Here is a 27,342-nt window from a genome sequence, read left to right on the forward strand (position 1 = left end):
GATCATGCAGCTCTTCCAGGCCCACTGCTTCTTCCTGTCCACTAGGCCACAGCCGCCCTCCAGGCCCACTATGCACACATCTTCCCCTCCAAGGTTTGTTCTGCCCCTGCCCTGACTCCCAGCCCTGTGGGGGTCCTGACCGCACCTCACCTGGCTCAGACTCTTGACGCTGCCCTGGCTGCCCCACCACTGCTTCTGCCCGAGAGTCACGTGAGGCTGAGAGTAGGGGCAGGGGCAGCAGTGGTGCCAGTTGGGGGGCGGTCCAGTGGGAGGAGCCTCAGCCTCGCGGGCTGCTCCGTGGGACTGATGACTGCATGATCTTCTGGGCACCTCACGGATCTTCAACTGCAGGTGAAACGGATGCTGGTGGTGGGTGCAGGGCCGCTGGGAGCTGCTGCATGGTTCCCAGAGGCTGGACTGGGGCAGGTGCCAACTGAAGCTGCTGGGGCAGCATGGGCAGGATGTTCTGCACACAAACCTTGGAGAAGAAGATGTGTGCATAGCAGGTCCACTGCTGCTGCCCCTGCCCTGACTCCCAGCCCTGCCTGACCCCACCTCAACCTGCTCAGGCTCTGGCGCAACCCTGGCTGCCCTGCCACTGCCTCTGCCCCAGAGTTGGGGCCTTGACAACCTGGTTGGAAGGGGACACCCCAGCCCTGCCTCAACACCTGGGGGTCTCCATAACTACCACAGGCAGGTGGGCAACCCCAAAGATCCCAGGACTCACAGTACCCCCTGAGAACATGGACAGTATGTGGGGGTAGAAATGGAGGGCAGGATGGTTATCTTCTCCCAGGTGAAGCCATTTAATCCTTTCAGTTTGGGACGGAGTAAGGCCTTCCTCTTTTTTTTTTTTTTTTTTTTTTTGAGACCGAGTCTTGCTCTGTCACCCAGGCTGGAGTGCAGTGGTGCGATCTTGGCTCACTGCAACCTCTTCCCGCCGGGTTCACGCCATTCTCCTGCCTCAGCCTTCCGGGTAGCTAGGATTACAGGTGGACGCTACCACGTCCGGCTAATTTTTGTATTTTTAGTACAGACGGGGCTTCATCATCTTGGCCAGGCTGATTTCGATCTCCTGACATCGTGATCTGCCTGCCTCCCCCTCCCAAAGTGCTGGGATTACAGGCGTGAGCCACCACGCCTGGCCAAGGCCTGCTCCTCTTATCTATACCCCCTACCCCTGCAGCTGTGCCGGGGGAAAGCTGGGCAGTTTCCCTCCTCCGAGCCCCTGTACATACCATGAATTGTGGGACCTTCAGAGCTTTTCACTTTTCAGAAAATAGCTCCTGCTGGGGCTACAAGATGGAGTGTGAAGAGGGCCTTGGGCCACAGGGAGGCGCCTGTGGACTAGGGGGAGTTCATGCACCCCTTCTTTCCCCAGAGGGGCTGGACTCAGGTGAGTATGGGGGTGGGGGCTCCTACACTTCGACACAGGCAGCGGGAGGGTTTTCTCCCCATTCCCTCTGCACTCCCAACTTGAGCTATACTTTTTAAGAAAGTGATTCACCCTGCCTTTGCCCCCTTCCCCAGAACAGAACACGTTGATCGTGGGCGATATTTTTCATTGTGCCAAAAAGTTGCCATGACCGTCATTAAACCTGTTTAACACCAAATAATAAGGAAAATAAAATAAAAAATTCGGGCTTGGCGCAGAAACTCACTCCAAATAAATTACCTACCAAAATATTTACATAATGGTGGAAATATTCCAAAATTCAATATTTTGGGATTTATACACAAAAGATAAACAAATTAGAGGCCAAGAGGCTGCCGGAAGGGAAAAACGGGGCCTGGAATGGCCGACGTGAGGAATGAGCTGGGCCTAAAGAGGCCACTGGCAGGCAGGAGCTGGACCTGCCGAAGTGGCCGAAAGGCAGGAGCTTTGGACTGGGGAGGCCGCAGTGAGACGAGAGCTAGCTGGGCGTGGAGAGTCCGCTGTGAGGCCGAGGCCGAGGCCGGGCCCGTGCAGGCCTTCGAGAGGCAGGAGGCCGGGCCTGCAAAGGCCGCCTGGAGATCAAGTTCTGCGCCTGAAGAGGCTGCCAAAAGTCAAAAGCGGGGCCTGGGAAGGCCGCCGAGAGCCATGAGCTGGGCTGGGCCGAAAGAGGCCACTGGGAGGCAGGAGGAGCTGGGCCTGGAGAGGCTGACTCGAGGAAGTTTTGCACCTGGAGAGGCCGTCGAGAGGACGGAGCTGGGCCCAGGGAGGCCGACTTGCTGCTCTTCCAGGCCCACTTCCAGGCCGACTTGAGGACGACTTGGGCCTGCAGAGGCCGCCGGGAGGCTGGAGCTAAGCCTGGAGAGACTGACTTCGGGACGATTTGGGCCTGCAGAGGCCGCCGGGAGGCCCAAGCTGGGCCTAGAGGAGCCCACCGACCGGAGGCCATTTGGGGCCTGCAGATGTCATCGGAGGGCCAGGAGCTGAGCCTGGAGAGGCCACCGCGAGGCCTGAGCTGGGCCTGGGGAGCTTGGCTTAGGGAAGTTGTGGGCCTACCAGGGCCGCTGGGAGCTGGGCAGGAGCTGAGTCCAAAGACGTTGTTGGGACCTGGAGTCGGGCCAGAGTCCGGCCTGGAGATGCAGCCAGGAGGAAGAGCTGGGCCCGGAGGGGGCGCCGGGAGGCTGCAAGTGGGTCTGAGAGGCCAACTTGAGGAGGCCTGGCCTCTGCCTCCCGCATTGCCCAGCTGTTCCTCCTGGCTGCATCTCCCACCTCCCAGCAAACAAGCTCTTTTGGCTCAGCTCCCGCCTGCCTTTGTAGACCCCGAAGTTTCTGCAACCAAGCTCTTCAGACCCACATCCCTTCTCCCAGTGACTGAACAGTCCCAGCTCCGGCTGGAGAAGGGCGTCTGCAGACCCCGCTGTTGCCTCCCAGGGGAGTCTCCAGGCCCAGCTCTCGCCCCACCGCGACCTCCCAGGCCCAAGTCCCTGCCTACCTCCCAGCAGCCCGAGTGCGATCCTGTTCCTCCCTCACGGTGGCCTGTTGAGGCAGGGGGTCACGCTGACCTCTGTCCGCGTGGGAGGGGCCGGTGTGAGGCAAGGGCTCACACTGACCTCTCTCAGCGTGGGAGGGGCCGGTGTGAGGCAAGGGGCTCACGCTGACCTCTGTCCGCGTGGGAGGGGCCGGTGTGAGGCAAGGGCTCACACTGACCTCTCTCAGCGTGGGAGGGGCCGGTGTGAGGCAAGGGGCTCACGCTGACCTCTGTCCACGTGGGAGGGGCCGGGGTGAGGCAAGGGGCTCACGCTGACCTCTGTCCGCGTGGGAGGGGCTGGTGTGAGGCAAGGGCTCACACTGACCTCTCTCAGCGTGGGAGGAGCCAGTGTGAGGCAGGGGCTCACGCCTCTGGGCAGGGTACCAGAGGCATGAGTTGGGCATCAACAGGCCACCGTGAGGGAGGAGCTGGGCCGCACGCGGGCTGCTGGGAGGCAGGCAGGGACTTGGCCCCGGGAGGCCGCCGTGGGGGCAAGAGCTGGGCCTGGAGAGGCCCCTGGGAGGCAAGGGCGGGGCCTGCAGAGGCTGTTCTCCAACCAGTGCTAGAACTGTACAGGCCACCAGGAGGCAGGAGGTGGGCCCTCAGAGCTTGGCTGGAGAAAGTTCAGGGCCTACAAAGGCGGTTGGGAGCTGGGCAGGAGTTGAGCCAAAAGAGCTTGCTTACTTGCTGGGAGGCAGGGCCGGGAGAGCCCGACTTCAGGACAACTTGGGCCTGCGGCGGTCGCCGGGAGGCCCAACCTTGGCGTGGAGGAGCCCACCGACCGGAGACCATTTGGGGCCTGGAGATGCCATAGGAGGGCAGGAGCTCATCCTGGAGAGGCCACCGTGAGGCCTGACCTGGGCCTGGGGAGCTTGGCTTGAGGAAGCTGTGGGCCGACCAAGGCCGCCAGGAGATGGGTAGGCACTGAGTCCAAAGAGGTTGTTGAGAGGCAGGAATCGGGCCTGGAGACCCAACCAGGAAGAAGAGCTGGGCCCGGAGAGGATGCCCGGAGGGTGCAAGTGGGTCTGGAGAGGCCGACTTGAGGAGGTTCTGGGCCCGGAGAGGCCGCCGGAAGGGAAAACTGGGCCTGGAAAGGCCGTTGTCAGGAATGAGCCCCATGGGCCTGAAGAGGCCACTGGCAGGCGGGAGCTGGGCCTGCCGAAGCGGCCGAGAGGCAGGAGCTTTGGACTCGGGAGGCCGCAGTGAAGCAACAGCTAGCTGGGCGTGGAGAGTCCGCTGTGAGGCAGAGGCTGGGCCTGTGCAGGCCTTCGGGAGGCAGGAGGCTGGGCCTTGTCGAGGCCTGCAGAGGCCACCGAAAGTCAAAAGCGGGGCTTGGGAAGGCCGCCGGGAGGCATGAGCTGGGCTGGGCTGAAAGAGGCCACTGGGAGGCCGGAGGAGCTGGGCCTGGAGAGGCTGCCGAAAGGCAGGAGCTTCGCCTGAGGATGCCACAGTGAGACACCATCTGGGTCTGGAGGGTCCACTGTGAGGCAGAGGCTGACCTGTAGAGTCCGACAGTAGACAGAAGTTGGGCAAAAGGCTGATTTGAGGAAGTTTTGGGCTTCAAGAGTCAGCCACGAGGCAGGCACTAGGCCTGGAAATGGCCTCACAGTCATGAGTTGGGCCTAAATGGGCCACTGTGAGGGAGGAGCTGTGCCTGTTGAGGCTGCTGGCAGGCAGGCAGAAATTTGGCCTGGGGCAGCCGCCATGAGGCAAGAGCTGGGCCTGGAAAAAGCCCCTGGGAGGCAAGAGCAGGGCCTGCAGAGGCTGTTCTCAAGTCAAAGCTGGGCCTGTTGATGCCACCGGGAAGCAGAAGGTGGGCCTGGAGAGTTTGACTTGAGGAAGTTTTGGGCCTACATTGGCCGCCATGAGCTGGACAGGAACTGGGCCAAAAAAGGCTGTTGTGAGGCAGCAGTTGTGCCTGTAGACCCAGCCAAGAGGAAGAGGTGGGCCTGGAGAAGCCCCCATGAGGCAGAGGTTGGGCCTGTAGACGCTGACAGGAGGCAGGAGGTGGGCCTGGACAGGTCAACTTGAGGAGATTTTGGGCCTTCATAGGCCACCAGGAGGCAGCAGTTGGGACTAGAGAGTCTGACTTGAGTAAGTTTTGGGCCCGGAGATGACGTCCTGGGACAGGAGTTGGGCGTGGAGAGGCCACCGTGAGGCATAAGCTGGATGTAGAGAGGCCAGTGTGAGACAAGACCTGGGCCTGTCTAGGCTGCTGGGAGACAGGCAGGAATCTGGCCAGGGAAGGTTGCCATGAGACAAAAGTTGGGCCTGGAAAGGCCCTTGTGAAGCATGAGCTTGGCCTAAAGAGGCCACTGGGTGGCAGGAGCTGGGTGTGTAGAAGCTGCTGAAAGGTTGGGAGCTTGGCTTGGGGGATCCACAGTGAGGTAGATGCTGGGCGTAAAGAATCTGCTGTGAGGCAGACGTTCGGACTGTAGAGGCTGACGGGAGGCAGAGGCTGGGCCTGGAGGGGCCACCAAGATGCAGGAGCTGGGCCTGGAGAGGCTGCAAAGAAGCATGAGCTGGGCCTGGTGAGGTTGACTTGAGAAAGTTCAGGGCCTGGAGAGAAGGCTGGGAGGCAGGAGCTGGGTCTAAAGAGGCCATTGTAACGATGGAGCTGTGCCTGTGGAGGCTGTTGTGAGGCAGTAGCCTCATCTGCGGAGGCTGCCGTGACGTAGGGTATGGGCCTAAATAGGCCATTGAGAGTCATGAGCTTGGTCTGTAGAGGCTGACTGGAGAAAGTTCTGGGCCTGGAGAGGCTGCCGGGAGGTAGGAGCTGGGCCAAAAGATGTAAGCACATTTGTATTTATTAGGCACTTTATTTCCATTATTACACTGTAATATATAATAAAATAATTATAGAACTCACCATAATGTAGAATCAGTGGGCGTGTTAAGCTTGTTTTCCTGCAACTGGATGGTCCCACCTGAGCGTGATGGGAGAAAGTGACAGATCAATAGGTATTAGATTCTCATAAGGACAGCGCAACCTCGATCCCTCACATGCACGGTTCACAACAGGGTGCGTTCTCCTATGAGCATCTAATGCTGCTGCTCATCTGAGAAGGTGGAGCTCAGGCGGGAATGTGAGCAAAGGGGAGTGGCTGTAAATACAGACGAAGCTTCCCTCACTCCCTCACTCGACACCACTCACCTCCTGCTGTGTGGCTCCTTGCGGCTCCATGGCTCAGGGGTTGGGGACCCCTGCTCAAGTGCATCCAAAGCGACCCTTCCCACACCAGTCTTCACAGTGGTCAAGGGCAGCAACCACTTAGCTCCCAAGGCATGTGCCTCAGCTGGCATTTCGTCACAATCAACAGTAAGTGGTAGCTTGAGTCACTGTGAGGTCACCTACTGGAAATCACCAGCACCCCATTTCCCACTGGCAAAGAGCTCAGCACTACCCCCTGGGAAACCACACCTATGCCCAAATCCCATCTGTGTGGGTTTACCTCCTGGGACCCTTCCTAACATATTAGTCAGAGTCCAATCAGGAAGCATAAACCACTCAAAAGTTTAAAGTGGTAAAATTTAATACAGAGAATTATTCATTATAACAGGTGAACAGCATAATGAGAGATTGGCTAGCACAGAGTAAAGAGAACTCTAGAGAATATGGGACTAGCCCAGGCCAGGCATGGTGGCTCATGCCTGAAATTCCAGCCATTACAGAAGCTAATGCAGGAGGACTGCTTAAGGCCAGGAGCTAGAGACCGCTCTGGACGACACAGTGAGACCCTGTCTCTATCCAAAAGGAGAAAAAAGTTAGCTGGGGGTGGTGCTGCACACTTGTAGTCCCAGCTACTCGGAATGCTGAAGTTTGAGCCTGGGAGGTCAAGGCTGCAGTGAGGCATGATTATGCCACTACAGTCCAGCCGGATGACAGAGCAAGACCCTGTCTCAAAGAACAAAACCACAACAACCATTTACAGACAGAAAAGAAATAGAGCTAATAAGCTGAGGAAAGATGTTGAAATGTGACAAGTAAAGTAATATGAGGTCTTTTGTCTATTTAAAATAATCAAACAAAAAATGGCTTACGAAATTATAATACCCTGTGCTGGCAAAGGTGCAGTGAAATGGGCACTTTCTTATACTATGAGGGGTGGTTAAATTGTGTATAAGCCTTCCCGGGTAAAGCCTGTCAATTTTTTAAAATAATGGAGACAGGGTCTCACCATACTGCCATACTGCCTCCTCCAACTCTTGGCCTCAAGCAATCCTCCTCTCTTAGCCTCCCAAAGTGCTAAGATTATAGCTGGGAGGCACCCAAAACCCTGTCAATTTACATCAAGGGTAAGGAGAATGTCCATTCACCATGACTCACAGTAATCTTACTTCTGGGGAGACAATTCAATCTAAGCAAAAGGTCATCTGTACACACACAGTAAAAATCTGGGAGTAACTGAAGACAGAGTTGGTAAGTGAAATAAGAAACAGTTATAAGAAATTAAACTATGGTATCAATAGGCACCTGGTAAAAGGTCAGTTGATGTTGCTGCTGCTTTTTTGTTGTTTTGAGACAGGGTCTCACTCTGTCACCCAGGCTGGAGTGCAGAGGCCTGATCATGACTCACTGCAGTCTCAGCCTCCCTGGGCTCAAGTGATCCTCCCACCTCAGCCTCCCAAGTAGCTGGGACTACAGGAACATGCCACCACACTAGGCTAATTCATGTATTTTTCTGTAGGGATGGTGACTCCCCCTTTGTTTCCAAGGCCTATCGCAAACTCTTGGCCTCAAGCCATCCTCCTGCCTCAGCCTCCCAAAGTGTTGCAATTACCAGTGTGAGCCACCACATCTGGCCAGCTGCTACTTTTATCAATATTATTCTTATTCCACTCAATTAAAAATTATTATTTTCAAGGCTATGCAACAGTATGTATCCTACAGCGTAATTGTAAAAACATACACAGTCCTCATCCCTCAGTATACAGAATTAGTTCCAGCCCCCCATCTCTGCATATACCAAAATCCATGCTTACTCACGTTTCGCTGTCACCCCTCTAGAATCCACGTATACGAAAATTCCAAATGTTAGTTGGGCATAGTGGCAAGCACCTGTAGTCTCAGCCACGTGGGAGGTTGAGGTGGGAGGATCGCTTCAGCCTGGAAGGTTGAGGCTGCAGTCAGCTGCAATAGCACTACTACACTCCAGCCTTGGACAACAGAGGGAGACCCTGTCTCAGAACAAAAAAAATAAATAAATAAAAAATAAAACAGGTTAGAAACTGTGATGAGGTCTGTTGGGCAAAATTCCATATAAGCAAAGTATAAATTAATAAAGCAAATCGTGATAAATCAGTACGATTGACTTTCTGGAGTTTCTGACAATAAAAGTAAGGAAAATGCAGAACACAAAGACAGAGAGTAAAAAGAGAAATTAGGAAAGCATTCTACATGTTGAATAGGAAGACACTGGCCATGTTCGTGCAGCGGCAGTATGTCGTGACATGACATACCTTGGAGAGAAGTTAACAGATGAGGAAGTTGATAAAAATCATCAGAGAAGCAAAATACTGGTAGCGACACTCAAGTAAACCATGAAATTTCCATAACTTATGTCAGCAAAGTGGGAATATTGTACAGTGTGTGTTGAAGTTCCTATACAACATTGTTTATCTGCCTTTTGTTTGTTTGTAAGGAATGTATATACTAAAAGTTCTTCTTGCTGTCAAAAGAATATGTGTGAATAAGTCATTTTAACTTATTCTTCTGTTTTTCTTTTATCTTCCTGCCATCATCCCACAGCCTTACTTTAGAAATTTCTTTTTTAGAAAATTGAACAAGTGCTCCCTGTGGTGGCACATACCTCAAGGATGGGAGGCAGGGGTGGAAGGGTCACTTGAGGCCATTAGTTTGACACCAGCCTGGCCAACAAAGTGAGACCCCGTGTCTACAAAACAATTTAAAAATTAGCCAAGTATCGTCATGTATACCTACAGTCCCAGCTACCTGAACTTACTGAGAAAGTTCAGAGCCTGGAGAGAAGGCTGGGAGGCAGGAGCTGGGTCTAAAGAGGCCATTGTAACGATGGAGCTGTGCCCGTGGAGGCTGTTGTGAGGCAGTAGCCTCATCTGCGGAGGCTGCCGTGACGTAGGGTATGGGCCTAAATAGGCCATTGAGAGTCATGAGCTTGGTCTGTAGAGGCTGACTGGAGAAAGTTCTGGGCCTGGAGAGGCTGCCGGGAGGTAGGAGCTGGGCCAAAAGATGTAAGCACATTTGCATTTATTAGGCACTTTATTTCCATTATTACACTGTAATATATAATAAAATAATTATAGAACTCACCATAATGTAGAATCAGTGGGCGTGTTAAGCTTGTTTTCCTGCAACTGGATGGTCCCACCTGAGCGTGATGGGAGAAAGTGACAGATCAATAGGTATTAGATTCTCATAAGGACAGCGCAACCTAGATCCCTCACATGCACGGTTCACAACAGGGTGCGTTCTCCTATGAGAATCTAACGCTGCTGCTCATCTGAGAAGGTGGAGCTCAGGCGGGAATGTGAGCAAAGGGGAGTGGCTGTAAATACAGACGAAGCTTCCCTCACTCCCTCACTCGACACCGCTCACCTCCTGCTGTGTGGCTCCTTGCGGCTACATGGCTCAGGGGTTGGGGACCCCTGCTCAAGTGCATCCAAAGCGACCCTTCCCACACCAGTCTTCACAGTGGTCAAGGGCAGCAACCACTTAGCTCCCAAGGCATGTGCCTCAGCTGGCATTTCGTCACAATCAACAGTAAGTGGTAGCTTGAGTCACTGTGAGGTCACCTACTGGAAATCACCAGCATCCCATTTCCCACTGGCAAAGAGCTCAGCACTGCCCCCTGGTAAACCAAACCTATGCCCAAATCCCATCTGTGTGGGTGTATCTCCTGGGACCCTTCCTAACATATTAGTCAGAGTCCAATCAGGAAGCATAAACCACTCAAAAGTTTAAAGTGGTAAAATTTAATACAGAGAATTATTCATTATAACAGGTGAACAGCATAATGAGAGATTGGCTAGCACAAAGTAAAGAGAACTCTAGAGAATATAGGACTAGCCCAGGCCAGGCATGGTGGCTCAGGCCTGAAATTCCAGCAATTTGAGAAGCTAATGCAGGAGGATTGCTTAAGGCCAGGAGCTAGAGACCGGTCTGGACAACAGAGTGAGACCCTGTCTCTATCCAAAGGAAGAAAAAAGTTAGCTGGTGGTGGTAGTGCACACTTGTAGTCCCAGCTACTCGGAATGCTGAAGTTTGAGCCTGGGAGGTCAAGGCTGCAGTGAGGCATGATTATGCCACTACAGTCCAGCCTGGTGACAGAGCAAGACCCTGTCTCAAAGAACAAAACCACAACAACCATTTACAGACAGAAAAGAAATAGAGCTAATAAGCTGAGGAAAGATGTTGAAATGTGACAAGTAAAGTAATATGAGTTCTTTTGTCTATGTAAAATAATCAAACAAAAAATGACTTACTAAATTATAATACCCTGTGCTGGCAAAGGTGCAGTGAAATGGGCACCTTCTTATACTATGAGGGGTGTTTAAATTGTGTATAAGCCTTCCCGGGTAAAGCCTGTCAATTTTTTAAAATAATGGAGACAGGGTCTCACCATACTGCCATACTGCCTCCTCCAACTCTTGGCCTCAAGCAATCCTCCTCTCTTAGCCTCCCAAAGTGCTAAGATTATAGCTGGGAGGCACCCAAAACCCTGTCAATTTACATCAAGGGTAAGGAGAATGTCCATTCACCATGACTCACAGTAATCTTACTTCTGGGGAGACAATTCAATCTAAGCAAAAGGTCATCTGTACACACACAGTAAAAATCTGGGAGTAACTGAAGACAGAGTTGGTAAGTGAAATAAGAAACAGTTATAAGAAATTAAACTATGGTATCAATAGGCACCTGGTAAAAGGTCAGTTGATGTTGCTGCTGCTTTTTTGTTGTTTTGAGACAGGGTCTCACTCTGTCACCCAGGCTGGAGTGCAGAGGCCTGATCATGACTCACTGCAGTCTCAGCCTCCCTGGGCTCAAGTGATCCTCCCACCTCAGCCTCCCAAGTAGCTGGGACTACAGGAACATGCCACCACACTAGGCTAATTCATGTATTTTTCTGTAGGGATGGTGACTCCCCCTTTGTTTCCAAGGCCTATCGCAAACTCTTGGCCTCAAGCCATCCTCCTGCCTCAGCCTCCCAAAGTGTTGCGATTACCAGTGTGAGCCACCACACCTGGCCAGCTGCTACTTTTATCAATATTATTCTTATTCCACTCAATTAAAAATTATTATTTTCAAGGCTATGCAACAGTATGTATCCCACAGCGTCATTGTAAAAACATATAGTCGTCGTCCCTCAGTATACAGAATTAGTTCCAGCCCCCCATCTCTGCATATACCAAAATCCATGCTTACTCACGTTTCGCTGTCACCCCTCTGGAATCCACGTATACGAAAATTCCAAATGTTAGTTGGGCATAGTGGCAAGCACCTGTAGTCTCAGCCACGTGGGAGGTTGAGGTGGGAGGATCGCTTCAGCCTGGAAGGTTGAGGCTGCAGTCAGCTGCGATGGCACTACTACACTCCAGCCTTGGACAACAGAGGGAGACCCTGTCTCAGAAAAAAAAAACAAAATAAAACAGGTTAGAAATTGTAATGAGGTCTGCTGGGCAAAATTCCATATAAGCAAAGTATAAATTAATAAAGCAAATCGTGATAAATTAGTACGATTGACTTTCTGGAGTTTCTGACAATAAAAGTAAGGAAAATGCAGAACACAAAGACAGAGAGTAAAAAGAGAAATTAGGAAAGCATTCTACATGTTGAATAGGAAGACACTGGCCATGTTCGTGCAGCGGCAGTATGTCGTGACATGACATACCTTGGAGAGAAGTTAACAGATGAGGAAGTTGATAAAAATCATCAGAGAAGCAAAATACTGGTAGCGACACTCAAGTAAACCATGAAATTTCCATAACTTATGTCAGCAAAGTGGGAATATTGTACAGTGTGTGTTGAAGTTCCTATACAACATTGTTTATCTGCCTTTTGTTTGTTTGTAAGGAATGTATATACTAAAAGTTCTTCTTGCTGTCAAAAGAATATGTGTGAATAAGTCATTTTAACTTATTCTTCTGTTTTTCTTTTATCTTCCTGCCATCATCCCACAGCCTTACTTTAGAAATTTCTTTTTTAGAAAATTGAACAAGTGCTCCTTGTGGTGGCACATGCCTCGAGGATGGGAGGCAGGGGTGGAAGGGTCACTTGAGGCCATTAGTTTGACACCAGCCTGGCCAACAAAGTGAGACCCCGTGTCTACAAAACAATTTAAAAATTAGCCAAGTATCATCATGTATACCTACAGTCCCAGCTACCTGAACTTACTGAGAAAGTTCAGAGCCTGGAGAGAAGGCTGGGAGGCAGGAGCTGGGTCTAAAGAGGCCATTGTAACGATGGAGCTGTGCCTGTGGAGGCTGCTGTGAGGCAGTAGGCTCATCTGCGGAGGCTGCCGTGACGTAGGGTATGGGCCTAAATAGGCCATTGTGAGTCATGAGCTTGGTCTGTAGAGGCTGACTGGAGAAAGTTCTGGGCCTGGAGAGGCTGCCGGGAGGTAGGAGCTGGGCCAAAAGATGTAAGCACATTTGCATTTATTAGGCACTTTATTTCCATTATTACACTGTAATATATAATAAAATAATTATAGAACTCACCATAATGTAGAATCAGGGGGCGTGTTAAGCTTGTTTTCCTGCAACTGGATGTTCCCACCTGAGCGTGATGGGAGAAAGTGACAGATCAATAGGTATTAGATTCTCATAAGGACAGCGCAACCTAGATCCCTCACATGCACGGTTCACAACAGGGTGCGTTCTCCTATGAGAATCTAACGCTGCTGCTCATCTGAGAAGGTGGAGCTCAGGCGGGAATGTGAGCAAAGGGGAGTGGCTGTAAATACAGACGAAGCTTCCCTCACTCCCTCACTCGACACAGCTCACCTCCTGCTGTGTGGCTCCTTGCGGCTACATGGCTCAGGGGTTGGGGACCCCTGCTCAAGTGCATCCAAAGCGACCCTTCCCAAGCCAGTCTTCACAGTGGTCAAGGGCAGCAACCACTTAGCTCCCAAGGCATGTGCCTCAGCTGGCATTTCGTCACAATCAACAGTAAGTGGTAGCTTGAGTCACTGTGAGGTCACCTACTGGAAATCACCAGCATCCCATTTCCCACTGGCAAAGAGCTCAGCACTGCCCCCTGGGAAACCAAACCTATGCCCAAATCCCATCTGCGTGGGTCTACCTCCTGGGACCCTTCCTAACATATAACCTTCATAACATACTTGAGAGGCTGAGGTGAGACAATCAATTTAGCCCAGGAGTTTGAGATCAGCCTGGACGACATAACTAAATCTCATCTCTACAAGGACGAGGTGGGAGGATCACTTGAGCCCAGGAATTTGTGGCCAGCCTGGGCAACAAAAGAAGACCCCATCTGGCCAACATGGCCAACCTGGCCACCACGGTGAAACTCTGACTCTACAAAAATGATCTGGGCATGGGTGACATGCATGTGTAGTCCTAGCTACTTGGGAGGTTGAGATGGGAGGATTGCTTGATCTCAGAAGGCCAAAGCTATAGTGAGCTATGATCACATCACTGCACTCCAGCCTGGATGGCACAGGGAGATTCTGTCTCAAAAAAAAGAAAAGAAATATATATTTAATCTCTGTCCCTGGTTCCTGGCACAGAGCTTCTAAAGCTCTTACAAAGACCTCAGTGATAGATGTGACAGGAGCATCTTTTGTTTTAATATTTGGTCTTGGTCCCAGGTTTCTAACACAAGAGCCTCTAAGAACTTTGGGATCTCCAGCATGGTAAGAATGCATTTGGGGATGTTGTTGAGATGACTGGGTGACTGCAAGCTCCTAAATTTCTTCAAGAGGAGGGCTGATTACCATGCAACCACATGGTAAGAGGCTTGGAACTTTCAGCCTCATGCACTGAACTCCAGGGGGAAGAGGGGCTGGAGACTGACTTAATCACCAACAGCCAAAGGTTTTATCAATCATGCTTGCATAATAAAGCCTCCATAAACACCCTGAAAGGGGTTTGCAGAGCTTTCAGGGTTGCTGGACACAGGAGATGCTGGGAGGGTCGCATGTTCAACAGAGGGCATGGGAGCTCTGTGCCCCTCCGAACTTAACTTGCCCTGGGTATCTTTCTTTTTTTTGAGACAGGATCAGGCTCTGTTGTCCAAGCTGGAGTGCAGTGGCACAATCTCAGCTTACTGTAACCTAAGCCTCCCCAGTCCCCAGCTCAAGGTATCCTCTCATCTCAGCTTCCCTAGTAGTTGGAACTCTAGGTGCACAACACCACACCAGTTATTATTATTATTTTTTAATTTTTTATAGAGACAAGTTTTCACCATGTTGCCCAGGCTGGTCTCAAACTCCTGAGTTTAAGCGATCCTCCCACCTTGGCCTCCCAAAGTGCTGAGATTACAGGCATGAGCCACTGCATCCAGCATGCACGTCTCTTTCATTGACTGTTTCTGAGATGTATCCTTCACAATGAACCAGTAATAGGAAATGAACTGGCCAGATGTGGTGGCTCACATCTGTAATCCCAGCACTTTCAGAGGCTGAGGTGGGAGGATCACTTGAGACCAGGAATTTGTGGCCAGCCTGGCCAACACAACAAGACCCCATCTATACAAAAAATAAAAGAAACTAGCCAGATGTGGTGGTGCAGGCATGTAGTCTCAGCTACTAGGGAGGCTGAGGTGGGAGAACCACTGGAACCCAGACAATCAAGGCTGCAATGAGCTATGACTGCACCATTGCACACCAGCCTGGGCAACAAAATAAGACCCTCTCTCTCAGAAAAAAAGAAAATAAACTGTTTTTCTGAGTTCCGTAAACTGTTCTAGCAAATTATTAAACCCAAGAAGACAGTTACGGGAACCCCCGATTGGTAACAGGTTGGTCAAAAGTATGGTGACAACTTAGGACTTGCCATTGTCATCTGAAGTGAGGATGGCCTCGTGGGACTGAGCCCCTAACTTGTGGGGTCTGTGCTAACTCCAGGTAGTGTCAGAATAAAGTCATGGGATACCCAGTTAATATCCAGAGCACTGAAGAATCTGGTGTAGAAACTCCATACATACATTCAGTCGGAAGTGTGTGAGTAGAGACAAACATGGGCTTTTCTGTCACCTACCTGCTTAACTGCATAGGAGAGGCAATATGTGGTGCTCATGAACAAAGCAAACATTAAAGTCAGACCAGACCCAACATTTGACTCAGTCTTAATATCCAGGTGAGCCTGCGCAAATCATTCATTATTCCTAAGGTTTTCATCACTCCATTCATAAAATGGGGATAACTGTGGCACCTACATGTGATTCTGTGAGAATTAACGAAATATTATGCTTGGGGTTATTGTGATCATTATACCTGTTCCAAACTATTTGACAAGGACAGTGATGGATGAAGACATCAAAAAATCAGAAACTGCAATGAGGTCTCTCAGGCAAAATTCCATACAAGCAAATTACTGTGTCTACAAAGCATTCCTGCCACACTTAATTCACCATTCCCTGAACAGAATATGCCATCTTCGTTGTTCAGGTCTGTACAGTGCTGGTGTCCCTTCCCGGGCAGTTTGCGCTATCCCATCCCGGCCCATTCCCCATCCCTCCACCTCCCCCTTCCCTCCCCACTCTCATACAACTCTTCCTCATCTTTCAGGACTTGGCTTCAATGTCACCTTAACTGGAAGCTTCTCTCACTCTCCAGAAGAGCTTCCCATTGCACCTGATGCATGGGAAACATAATTTGATCACTTTTAAGTTACAGTCCAAATCTTTTTGTACCTGAATAACATGTTGCCCAGTCAGTCTCTCTTCCTGGATTCACAAGTCTTTCATGGTAGATCCAGCTGGAAGTGACAAAAAGACATCTTTTGACATAAAGGGATGACACAGACAGACATAAGTTCTTAAATGTCTTAAATGTCATGTGAAAATTAAACAGAATTCAAAGACTTGTGGGGAGCACTTAGGAAGTTACTGGGAATGTCATAAAGGGTTAATTTGTATTTTATTTTATTTTTTGAGACAGTCTCATTCTGTCACCTAGGCTGGAGTGCAGTGGTGCAATCAGGCTCACTGCAGCCTTGACCACCTGGGCTCAAGTAATCTCACTTAATTTTTATTTGGTTTAAGAAAGTCTTGGTTGAGGGTGGTGGCTTATGCCTGTAATCTCAGCACTTTGGGAGGCTGAGAGAGGTATATTACTTGAGGCCAGGAGTTTGAAATCAGACTGGGCAATATATTAAGACCCTGCCTCTACCAAAAAACAGAGTGAATGTGTGGAAGACAATTTTTCCACAGACTGGGAATGAGGGAATAATTTCAGGATGATTCAAGTGCATTACATATATTGTGCACTTTATTTCTATTATTACTACATAGTAATATATAATGAAATGATTCTACAACTCACTATAACGTAGACTCAGTGGGATCTCTGAGCTTGTTTTCCTGCAACTAGACTGTCCACCTGGGGTGATGGGAGACAGTAACAGAATATCAGGCATTAGATTCTCATAAGGAGTACACAACCTAGATCCCTCGCATGCACACTTCACAACAGAGTTTGTGCTCCTATGACAATCTAATGCTGCTGCTGATCTGACAGGACATGGAGCTCAGGTGGTCATGCAAGTGATGGGAGGGGCTAGAAATACAGATGAAGTTTCCCTTCACTCGCCTGCTGCTCACCTCCAGCTCTGTGGCCCTGTGGTTGGAGACCGCTGCTCAAGTGCATTTGAAAGGAACCATCCCACGCCATTCTTCAGAGTCATCTTTACTGCTGCAGTGGTCAACTTGTAGCACCCCTAAGCTCGCAGGACATATGCTTCAACTGGCATTTCACAATCAACAGTATGTGGCAGCTTGAGTCATTGTGAGCTCACTTCCTGGAAATCACCAGCATCCCATATCCCATTGCAAGGAGCTCAGCACTGCTCCTTGGATAACCAAACCTATTCCCAAATCCCATCTGTGTGCGTCTATCTCCTGGTACCCTTCCTAGCATCAATTCTGTATTTGTAGGAGTCCAATCAGGAGACACAAACCACTCAAAAGTTTAAACTAGAATGAGCAAGATGGCTCACACCTGTAACCCCAGAACTCTGGGAGGCCAAGGTGGGTGGACTGCTTTGAGCTCAGGAGTTTGAGAACAGTCTGGGAAACATGGCGAAACCTCGTCTCTACAAAAAACACAAAAATCAGCTGGGTGTGGTGGCACTTACCTGTAATCCCAGCTACTCGGGAGGCTGAGGCAGGAGAATTGCTTGAGCCTGGCAGGTGGAGGCTGCAGTGAGCAGAGGTTGTGCCACTGTACTCCAGCCTGGGTGACAGTGTGAGACCCGGTATCAAAAAGAAAAAACGTATATATATATATATATATATATATATATATATATATATATATATATATGTAAATTTAATATAAAAAGTATTAATTTTGGCCAGGCAAAATGGCTCATGCCTGTAATCCCAGCACTTTGGGAGGCCAAGGCAGACAGATCACCTGAGGTCAGGAGTTCGAGACCAGCCTGACCAGCACAGAGAAACCCCATCTCTACTAAAAATACAAAATTAGCTGGGCATGGTGGCACATGCCTGTAATCCCAACTACTCGGGAGGCTGAGGCAGGAGAATTGCTTGAACCCAGAAGGTGGAGGTTGCGCTGAGCCGAGATAGCACCATTGCACTCCAGCCTGGGCAACAAGAGTGAAACTCCATCTCAAAAAAAAAAAAAAAAGGTATTAATTTTTACAGAGGATCAGCACAATGAGGGACACACTAGCACAAAGTAAAGACAACTCTAGAGAATACGGAACTAGCAGAGGCCAGGCATTGTGGCTCATGCCTGTAATCCCAGCAATTTGGGAAGCCTAGGCAGGAGGATCGCTTGAGGCCAGGAGTTGGAGACCAATCAGTGCTAAATAGTGAGACTCTGTGTCTACCAAAAAAAAGAGACATTAGCCAGGTGTGGTGGTGGTGCACACTCGTAGTTCCAGCTACTTGGGAGTCTGGGGTGGGAGAAATCCCTTGAGCCTGGGAAGTCTACACTACAGTGAGCCAAGATTGTGCCACTGCACTCCAGCCTGGGCGACAGAGTGAGACCCTGTCTTAGAAAGAAAAAAGAAAAGAAAGTGTTAATCCCCCTATGGGAATCTCCTCTTCTCCTGCCCTCTCTGGAACCTCACTTGTCAGTTCTTCCTCCCACTTTCCTGTATCTTTAACCTATCCCCCACTTTTAGCTCCTTCCCATCATCATTTAAATTACTCAAACTTCTTCTGTTTTAAAAACCTCTCCCTAAACTCAGGGAGAGGTCTTCTGCACACACATTGAGCCATCTGCTCTTCCTGGTGCCTTCTCTACAGCAGCCTGAGCCATGTCTCTAATCTATGAATCTCATCATGTTACTCCCCCATTTACATCACTTCTCCTTGCCTCAGGGATTAAGTCCAAACTCCTTAACAGCCCCTGCTCTGCCCTGCCTTGCAAGGCAGCCTCACTGCTTGCCCCTCTCCATTTCATCTGCTATGGAGTCCAACTGAGCCTCATCTGCCCCTTGAACGCACACTCTTTCTCCTCTGGGAGTCTCTGAAGTGGGTAATATCCTCTGCTTATAATATGCTTCCCCTTAAACCTCTACTCTCTTCCTAGCTAGCTTTGACTCCTCTGTCACTTGTCCGCTTTGGCATCACCTCCTCATAGAAGACTTCTATGACTCCCGAGATTCTCAGGAGCATGGCAGGTGAAGTGCTCCTCCCATGAATGGATGGAGATTAGGGAGTGTGTGTTATTCATGCTTCATTCACCAGTGCTTAGCTGAGTACCTGGCATAAAATAGTTACTGTGGTGGCCAAAGTAATAACCCCCACCGCCACCAATTGCTCATGTCCTATGTTACACAGCACAATTACATAGGAAGGGGGAATTAAGAGTGCAGATAAAATTAATGCTGCTCATCAGCTGTCCTTAAAACAAGATTATCCTGGAGTATCTAGGAGAGCCCATGTAATTACAAGCATTCTTTAAAACTGGAAGAGGGAGGCAGAAGGTTAAGAACCAGAGACGGTGGGCACAATGGCTCATGCCTGTAATACCAATACTTTGGGAGGCCAGGGTAGGAAAATCCCTTGAGTGCAGGAGTTCAAGGTCAGCCATGGCAACATACTGAGGTCCCATCTCTACAACAAAATAAAAACAAAATTCACTGAGTGTCACGATGCTTACCTGTAGTCCCAGCTACTGGGAAGGCTGACATGGTAGGATTGCTTGAGCCTGGGAGTTTGAGGCTATAATGAGCCATGATAGGACCACTGAACTCCATCCTAGTGACAGGGCAAGGTCCTGTTTCTGAAGAAAAAAAGGACATTGGAATCAGGGCCCTCTCCATCCTGAGGTGCCTACAAGGCATCTCTCTCTGCAAACGAGTAAACATCACCCTCCAACTCCTTACAGAGTGGAGCAACAGGAAAACTCCCTCACCTCATTTCTGTGCTGCTTGGGAGGCCTGGACAGCCCAATAACCAGCTCCTCGCTGATGAAGCAATCAGGAAATGGCTCGAGTTGAGCTAAGGAGAATTTGGATCCTTCCTTTGGTTCTCAGTAGGCAGGGTAGGGGCCAGGCATGGTGGCTCATACCTGTAATCCTTGCACTGTGGGGGGCCAAGGTGAGAGGATTGCTTGAGGCCAGGAGCTCAAGACCAGCCTGGACAACATAGCAAGACCTGGGTGGCATACACCTGTGGTCCCTACTACTTGGTAGGATGAGGTGGGAGGATTGATCACTTGATCCCAGGAGTTTCAGGCTGCAGTGAGCCATGATCACACCACTGCACTTCAGCCTGGGTGACAGAGCCAGACCATGTCACAAAAAGTTAGAAAAAAAAAAGAGAGAGGGAGAGAGACTATACACAGGCACCACCACATTTGGCTAATTTTTAAATATTCTGTAGAGACAAGGTCTTGCTAGGTTGCCCAGGCTAGTCTAAAACTCCTGGCATCAGGCTGGGCATGGTGGCTCATGCTTGTAATCGCAGCACTTTGGGAAGCTAAGGCAGGCAAATCACCTGAAGTCTGGAGTTCGAGACCAGCCTGGCCAACACGGTGAAACTCTGACTCTATCAAAAATACAAAAATTAGCTGGGCAGTAGTGGCGTGTACCTGTAGTCTCACCTACTCGGGAGGCTGAGGCAGGAGAATCACTTGAACCTGGGAGGTGGAGGTTGCAGTGGACCCCATCACTGCACTCCACCCTGGGTGACAGAGCGAGACTGTCAAAAACAACAACAACAATAACAAAAACAAAAACAACAACAACAAAAAAAACTCCTGGCATCAAGACATCTTCCTGTCTTAGCCTCCCAAAGCCCTGGGATTATACTGTTTCCTATAATTGAAGACACTTGTTCTTATACTGCTTTAAGGTATAAAGGAAGAAAAAAAAAACAGATAATGGCAAATGTTGGTGAAGGCCGGGCATGGTGGCAGCCTGTAATTCCAGAACTTAGGGAGGCTGAGGTGGGCAGATCACTTGAGGCCAGGAGTATGAGACCAGCCTGGGCAACATGGTAAAATCCCACCACTACAGAAAAATCTAAAAATTAGCCAGGCATGGTGGCGTACACCTGTAATTTTCAGCTACCCAGGAGGCTGAGATGAGAGAATCACTTGTGCCTGGGAGGTCACGGCTGCAGTGAACTGTGATGGCATCATTGCACTGCGGCCTGAGAGACAGAGCAAGCCCCTATCTAGAAAAAAAAATGTCAGTGAAGATGTGGAGGAATTGGAACCCACATACATTACTGGTGGGAACATAAAATTGTGTAACCATTTTGTTTGGGTATTTCTTTTCTTGTCATTTTAATTGGATTTTTAAAAAATCAAGACGGGGTTTCACTATCTTGCCCAGGCTGGTCTTGAATTCACGGGCTCAAGCCATCCTCCTAGCTGAGCCTCCTGAGTAGCTGGGATTACAGGTGTGAGCCATTGCACCCAACTGGTATAGCCACGTTAGAAAACAGTCTGGCAGTTTCTCAAAAGGCTAAATGTACAGTCATCCTATAATGCAACAATTTCACTCCTAGGCATATATCCCAGAAAAATAAAAATATATGTCCACACAAAAACTTGTACAACAATCTTCATAGCAGCATTATTCATAATGACCAATACATGGAATACATGGAAACAACCCAAATATCCACCAACTGATGAACAGATAAACAAAATGCAGTGTGTCTCTACCATGGAATACTGCCATAGAAGGAATGAAATATTGATACACACTATGACATAAAGGAACTTTGAAAACACTGTGGTAAGAGGGAAAAAAAGCCACAAAAGATCACATATTGTACAATTCTATTTGTCCAGATTAGGCAAATCTATAGTGACAAAAAAATTAATCAATGGTTGCCTAAGGCTGGGGGCAAAGGTAGGTGGGGAGAGTAGGAGGTAGTGGCTAAGGGGTATGGATTTCTCTATAGAGTAATGAAAGGTTCTAAAAGTGACTGTGGTGATCGATGCACAGCTCTGTGAATATTCTAAAACCTACTGAATTGCAGATTTCAATAAATAAAGTGAATGGTATGTGAATATTTTAATAAAGCTATTATTTAAAATAATAATAATAGGGGGCTGGGCACAGGTGGTCATGCCTGCCTGTAATCCCAGCACTTTGGGAGGCTGAGGCAGGAGGATCACTTGAGGTCAGGAGTTTTGAGCCCAGTCGGAGCAACACGGCAAGATCCCGTCTCTATGATAAAAAATTACCTGGACATGGTGGCACATGTCTGTAGTCCCAGCTACTTGGGAGACTGAAGTGAGAGAACCACTTGAGCCCAGGAGTTTGAGGCTACAGTGAACCATGATCATGTCACTGTACTGTAGCCTAAGCAACAGAGCAAGACGCTGTCTCTGAAAAGGAAAGAAAACAAATGCAAGTTTTTATCACTTTGTGAGTGTAGCCAAGTTGGAGGAGAAATAGACAATAATAAAAGAGCACTGAATAATGACGGTGAGTGGCTGGTTAGGCTCAGTTGCTAGCTAAATGGCTTCTAAAAAATTCAATAAAGTTACAGCTCTGGGGACAGTCATGTAGTCAAAGAATGAAGGCGAAATTCATTACAATTGCCCATGGTCTTTATTTACATGCCTTCTAGTGAAAAATTCCTAAGTGCCTAAACAGCAAGTCTGCAATGATAGCAGCTGTTTATTAAAGACTACAAAAAAGAAATGGAGGCCGGGCGTGGTTGTTCACATCTGTACTCCTTGAATTTTGGGAGGCTGAGGCAGGCAGATTGCCTGAGGTCAGGAGCTCCAGAGGAGCCTGGCCAACATGGTGAAATCCCATCTCTACTAAAAATACAAAAATTAGCTGGGTATGGTGGCGGGCACCTGTAATCCCAGCTACTCGGGAGGCTGAGGCAGGAGAATTGCTTGAACCCAGAAGGTGAAGGTTGCAGTGAGCCAAAATCGCACCATTGCACTCCAGCCTGGGTGACAAGAGAAAGACTCTTATCTTAAAAAAAAAAAGAAAAAAAAGAAATGGCATCTTCTTCAAGAATTACATCGTGTTTCATGATAAAGAAGCTCTAATTTTGCATTTGTTCAAGTATTGATGAGATTTACCCAATATGACACCCATCTTGGATAAAATGCAAACAACACAATTTCATTTTCTCATTAACAAAACCGATTAAGTAGTCTAATATAAATTCCGATCTTATTAAAAACTGATCAGATTAAAAAAATTATGGAATTATGGAGCCAATAAGATGTTACAACCTGTTCCAAGGGGAATTCCAAAATCCACACATATCTGAGACCATCAAGTATGATGAAATATATTTGATTACTATATTGAAAAATAAACTGATTACATAGCCAACAATTGGACAGGGGTCTCCTCATCCACAGCCACACAAACCCGATCATGCAACTGTATGGTTACAAGGCCTACATAGCCTAGAAGGGACTGGTCTGACTTGAGATTTCATTTGTATTTGTATTTTGAGACAGGGTCCCACTCTGTCACCCAGGATGGAGTGCAGTGGTATAATCATAGCTCACTGCAACCTTGACCAACTGGGCTCAAGAGATGCTCCTGCCTCAGCTGCCCCCATACCTGGGAATACAGGCAAGTACCACCATGTCAGGCATTTTTTTCATTTTTGTAGAGAGAGAAGACTTGCTATGTTGCCCAAGCTGGCCTCAAACTCCTAGAATCAAGAGATCTGCCCATCTCAGCCACATGAGTAACTGGGGCCATAGGTACATACCATCATGCCTGGCTATATTTATTTTATTTTATTAAATTTATTTTTTTTATTTTTGTAGAGAGGAGGTCTTGCTGTGTTGCCCAGGCTGCTCTCAAACTCATGGCCTTAAAACATACTCCCATCTCTGCCTCTCAAACTGTTGGAACTATAGGTGTGAGCCACTGTACCTGGCCTGACTTGGGATTTCTTTTATCTAGCATCCTTTACTTGGTAGGATTGGGAAAAGCAGTAGTGTTTTTTAAAATTACTTAATAATTCAATCAGAATCAAACTCAACCTTGACCACTGCCTTCTCTCACAGCTCACATCCAGTCTGTCAGGAAATCCTACTGACTGACTTCAACATGTATCCAGGCTCTAACCATCTCTCACCACCACCATGAACCCCGTCAGGATCACTATCATCTCCCACCGGGATGTTGCCACAGCTTGGCCCCCATGCTTCCACCCAAATCTTCCCATAGTCTTTCTCAACTCGGCAGCCAGGTCGTGCTTTTAAATCAGGAGACGGATCATGTCGCCTCTCTGCTCAGAAGCCCTTGGTGGTTCCCATTTTAGTCAGAGTAAAAGCCAAAGCCCCAGCAATAGCGTCCCAGGGCTTACACGATCTGTACCGATCCCAGCCCAGCAACTCCCTGGCCTCCTCGCTGACTTCGCTCCCTCTATCTCTTTGCTCCACTGGCCTCCTTCCAGAGCCTCAGACACACCAGAGAGTTTCCTCCTAATGCCTTTATCCTGTTGACTCAGCCTACAATGCTCTTCCCTCAGCACCTTGGCCAGCTCCATCACCTGCTTCAAACTTTTGCTCAATATTCACTTATGAGGCCAACCCTGACCACTCTACTTAACACTGCCATCTGTCCCCATTCCCACCATGCTCATTTATTTCTTTCTTTTTGAAACAAGGTCTTGCTTTATTGCCCAGGCTGGAGTACACTGGTGCAATCACAGCTCACAGCAACTTCAACCTCCCAGGCTTAAACAATCCTCCCGCCTCAGCCACCCTAGGAACTGAGACTACAGCTGCATGCCACAACACATGGCTTTTTTTTTTTTTTTTTTTTTGAGACGGAGTCTTGGTCGCCCAGGCTGAAGTGTAAGGGTGCGATCTTGGCTCACTGCAATGTCTGCCTTTTGGGTTCAAGTGATTCTCTGCCTCCCAAGTAGCTGGGATTACAGGCACCCACCACCACACCTGGCTAATGTTTGTATTTTTAGTAGAGATGGGGTTTCACCATCTTGGCTAGGCTGGTCTTGAACTTCTGACCTCGTGATCCACCCTCCTCGGCCTCCCAAAGTGCTGGGATTACAGGCGTGAGCCACTGCGCCTGGCCTTTAAAAAAATTTTTTTTTAGACATGAGGTCTCATTATGTTGCCCAGGCTGGTCTTAAGCTCCTGGGCTTAAGCGATCCTCCCACCTCAGCCTCCTAAAGTTCTGGGATTACAGGCGTGAGCAACTGTAACATGAGGTCCCAGCTTCATGTTCATTTTTTGTTGTTGCTACAACAAAGTACCCTACATTTAGTGGCATCAAACACCACAAATCTACCATCTTACAGTTCTGGGGGCCAGAAGCCCAACTAGGTCTATCAAGGCTAAAGTCAAGGTGTCAGAGAGGCTGCATTCCTTCTGGGGGAGGCTCTAGACAGAATGTGCTCCTTTGCCTTTTCCAGCTTCTAGAAGCCACCTCCATTCCTTGACTTACCTCGTGACTCCATATTCAAGGCCAGAAGTGCAGCATCTTCAAATCTCCCTCTCTGACCTCTTCTTCCATTACCACATCACTTTCTCTAATTCTGACTCTCCTACCTCATTCTCTTATAAAGATCCTTGTGATTGGTGGGTATGGGGGCTCCCATCTGTAATCCCAACATTTTGGGAGGCCAAAGAGGAAGGATTGCTTGAGGCCAAGAGTTAGAGATCAGCCTGGGGAAAATAGGAAGATCCTGCCTTTACAAAATTAAAATCAGCTGGACATGGTGATGCATGCCTGTAGTTCCAGCTACTGGAGAGGCTAAGGTGGGAGGATTGCTTTAGCCTAGGAGGTCAAGGCTGAAGTGAGCTATGATCACATCACTGCACTCCAGCCTCAGTGGCAGAGTGAGACTCTGTCTCCGATATAAGAAAAGAAATATACATTTGGTCTCTGCCCCTGGTTCCTGGCATAGAGCTTCCAAAGCTCTTATAAAGCCCTTCGTGACAGAGGTAATAGGAGCATTTTCTGTTTTGATATTTAGTCTTAGTCCCAGGTTCCTGACACAAGGGCCTCTAAGGTCTTTCAGATCTGCAGCATGGTAAGAATGCATGTGGGATGCTGTTGAGCTAACAGGGTGGCTGCAAGCTCCGAGACTGCTTCAGGAGGAGGGCTAGCTGCCAGAGAAAGCAACCACATTTTTTTTTTAAAACGGAGTTTGGCTCTTGTAGCCCAGGCTGGAGTGCAATGGCACAATCTCAGCTCACTACAACCTCCACCTCCCGGGTTCAAGCAATTCTCCTGCCTCGGCCTCCCGAGTAGCTGAAATTATAGGGATGTGCCACAACGCCTAGCTAACTGTTGTTATTTTTAGTAGAAACGGGGTTTCACCATGTTGGTCAGGCTGGTCTCAAACTCTTGACCTCAAGTGGTCCATGTGCCTCAGCCTTCCAAACTGCTAGGATTACAGGAGTGAGCCACCGCACCTGGCCCCAACAACATTTTTTGAGGCTTGGAACTTTCAGCCTCACCTGCTGAACTCCAGGAGGCAAAAGGAACTGGAGATTGACTTAACTACCAATGGCCAGTGATTTTATCAATCATGCCTCCATAAACACCCAAACAGCAGGGTTTGGAGAGCTTCTGTGTTGCTAAACACAAGGAGGTCCTGGGAGGGTAGTGTGCCCAACAGAGGGCATGGAAGCTCTGTGCCCCTCCCCACTTACCTTGTCCTGTGCATCTCTTTCATTGGCTGTTCCTGAGATGGAGCCATTACATTGAGCCAGTAATAGAAAATAAGGTGGCCAGATGCGCTGGCTCATGCCCGTAATCCCAGCACTTTGGGAGGCAGAGGTGGGCGGAATCACTTGAGCCTAGGAATTTGAGACCAACCTGGGCAACATAAGAAGACCCCATCTATACAAAAAATAAAAGAAATTAGCCAAATGTGGTGGTGGGAACCCTGTAATTCCAGCTACTTGAGAGGCTGAAGCAGGAGAATCACTTGAGCCCTGGACGTTGAGGCTTCAATGAGCTATGATTGCACCACTGCACACCAGCTTGGACAACAGAGCGAGGCCCTGTCTCTTAAAAAAAAAAGAAAAAAAACTTGTTTTTCTAAGTTCTGTGAGTTGTTCTAGTAAATAATTAAACTCAACAAGAGGGTCATGGGAAACCCTGATTTCTAACTGGTTGGTCAAAATACAGGTGACAACCTAGGACTTGCAACTGGCATCTGAAGTGAGGGTGGTCTTGTGGGACTGAGCCCCTAACCTGTGGGTTCTGTGCTAACTCTAGGTAGTGTCAGAATGGAATTGTGGGATACGCGGTTGGTATCCAGAGAGTTGGAGAACTGGTGTAGAAACTCTGCACACACAGTTGGTCAGAAGTCTGTGAGTAGAGAGAAACGTGTTGCAGGAAGTCAGGGACCCCAAACAGAGGGACTGGCTGAAGCCACAGCAGAAGAACATAAATTGTGAAGATTTCATGGACATTTATTAGTTCCCCAAATTAATACTTCTATAATTTCTTAGGCCTGTCATTACTGCAATCTCTGAACATAAATTGTGAAGATTTCATGGACACTTATCACTTCCCCAATCAATACCCTTGTGATTTTCTATGCCTGTCTTTAATCTCTTAATCCGGTCATCTTCATAAGCTGAGGATGAATGTCCCCGCAGGACCCTGTGATAATTGCGTTAACTGCACAAGTTGTTTAAACAATATGAAACCTGGGCACCTTGAAAAAAGAACAGGATAACAGCAATTTCAGGGAACAAGGGAGATAACCTTAAACTCTGGCTGCCAGTGGGCCGGGTTGAACAGAGCCATATTTCTC

General features: G+C 48.7%; 1 long non-coding RNA gene and 2 pseudogenes across 5 annotated transcripts; all 3 read right to left on the bottom strand.

Moving 5' to 3' along the window:
* Positions 1 to 1,671: 1,671 nt before the first annotated feature.
* On the bottom strand, positions 1,672 to 4,040 carry LOC101929817 (uncharacterized; annotated as a pseudogene).
* A 382-nt stretch (positions 4,041 to 4,422) lies between these two features.
* LOC102723777 (putative uncharacterized protein FLJ44672) lies at positions 4,423 to 13,043 on the bottom strand (annotated as a pseudogene).
* Positions 13,044 to 13,588: 545 nt separating this feature from the next.
* Positions 13,589 to 26,410, bottom strand: LINC02887 (long intergenic non-protein coding RNA 2887). Of its 5 annotated transcripts, XR_007065568.1 has the most exons (6): positions 26,228 to 26,410; positions 19,256 to 19,378; positions 16,723 to 16,919; positions 16,445 to 16,501; positions 15,814 to 15,878; positions 13,589 to 13,627 (listed from the first exon to the last, which is right to left on the bottom strand). It is a non-coding gene; the product is annotated as a long intergenic non-protein coding RNA 2887 (long non-coding RNA). The 5 variants fall into 5 exon arrangements; XR_007065567.1 differs by lacking the exon at positions 16,445 to 16,501; XR_001752726.2 differs by lacking the exon at positions 13,589 to 13,627 and having other exon boundaries at positions 15,811 to 15,878.
* Between the last annotated feature and the right edge of the window lie 932 nt (positions 26,411 to 27,342).

This window comes from Homo sapiens, chromosome 17 (genome assembly GCF_000001405.40).
Source record: "Homo sapiens chromosome 17, GRCh38.p14 Primary Assembly".
Taxonomy (NCBI): Eukaryota; Metazoa; Chordata; class Mammalia; order Primates; family Hominidae; genus Homo; species Homo sapiens.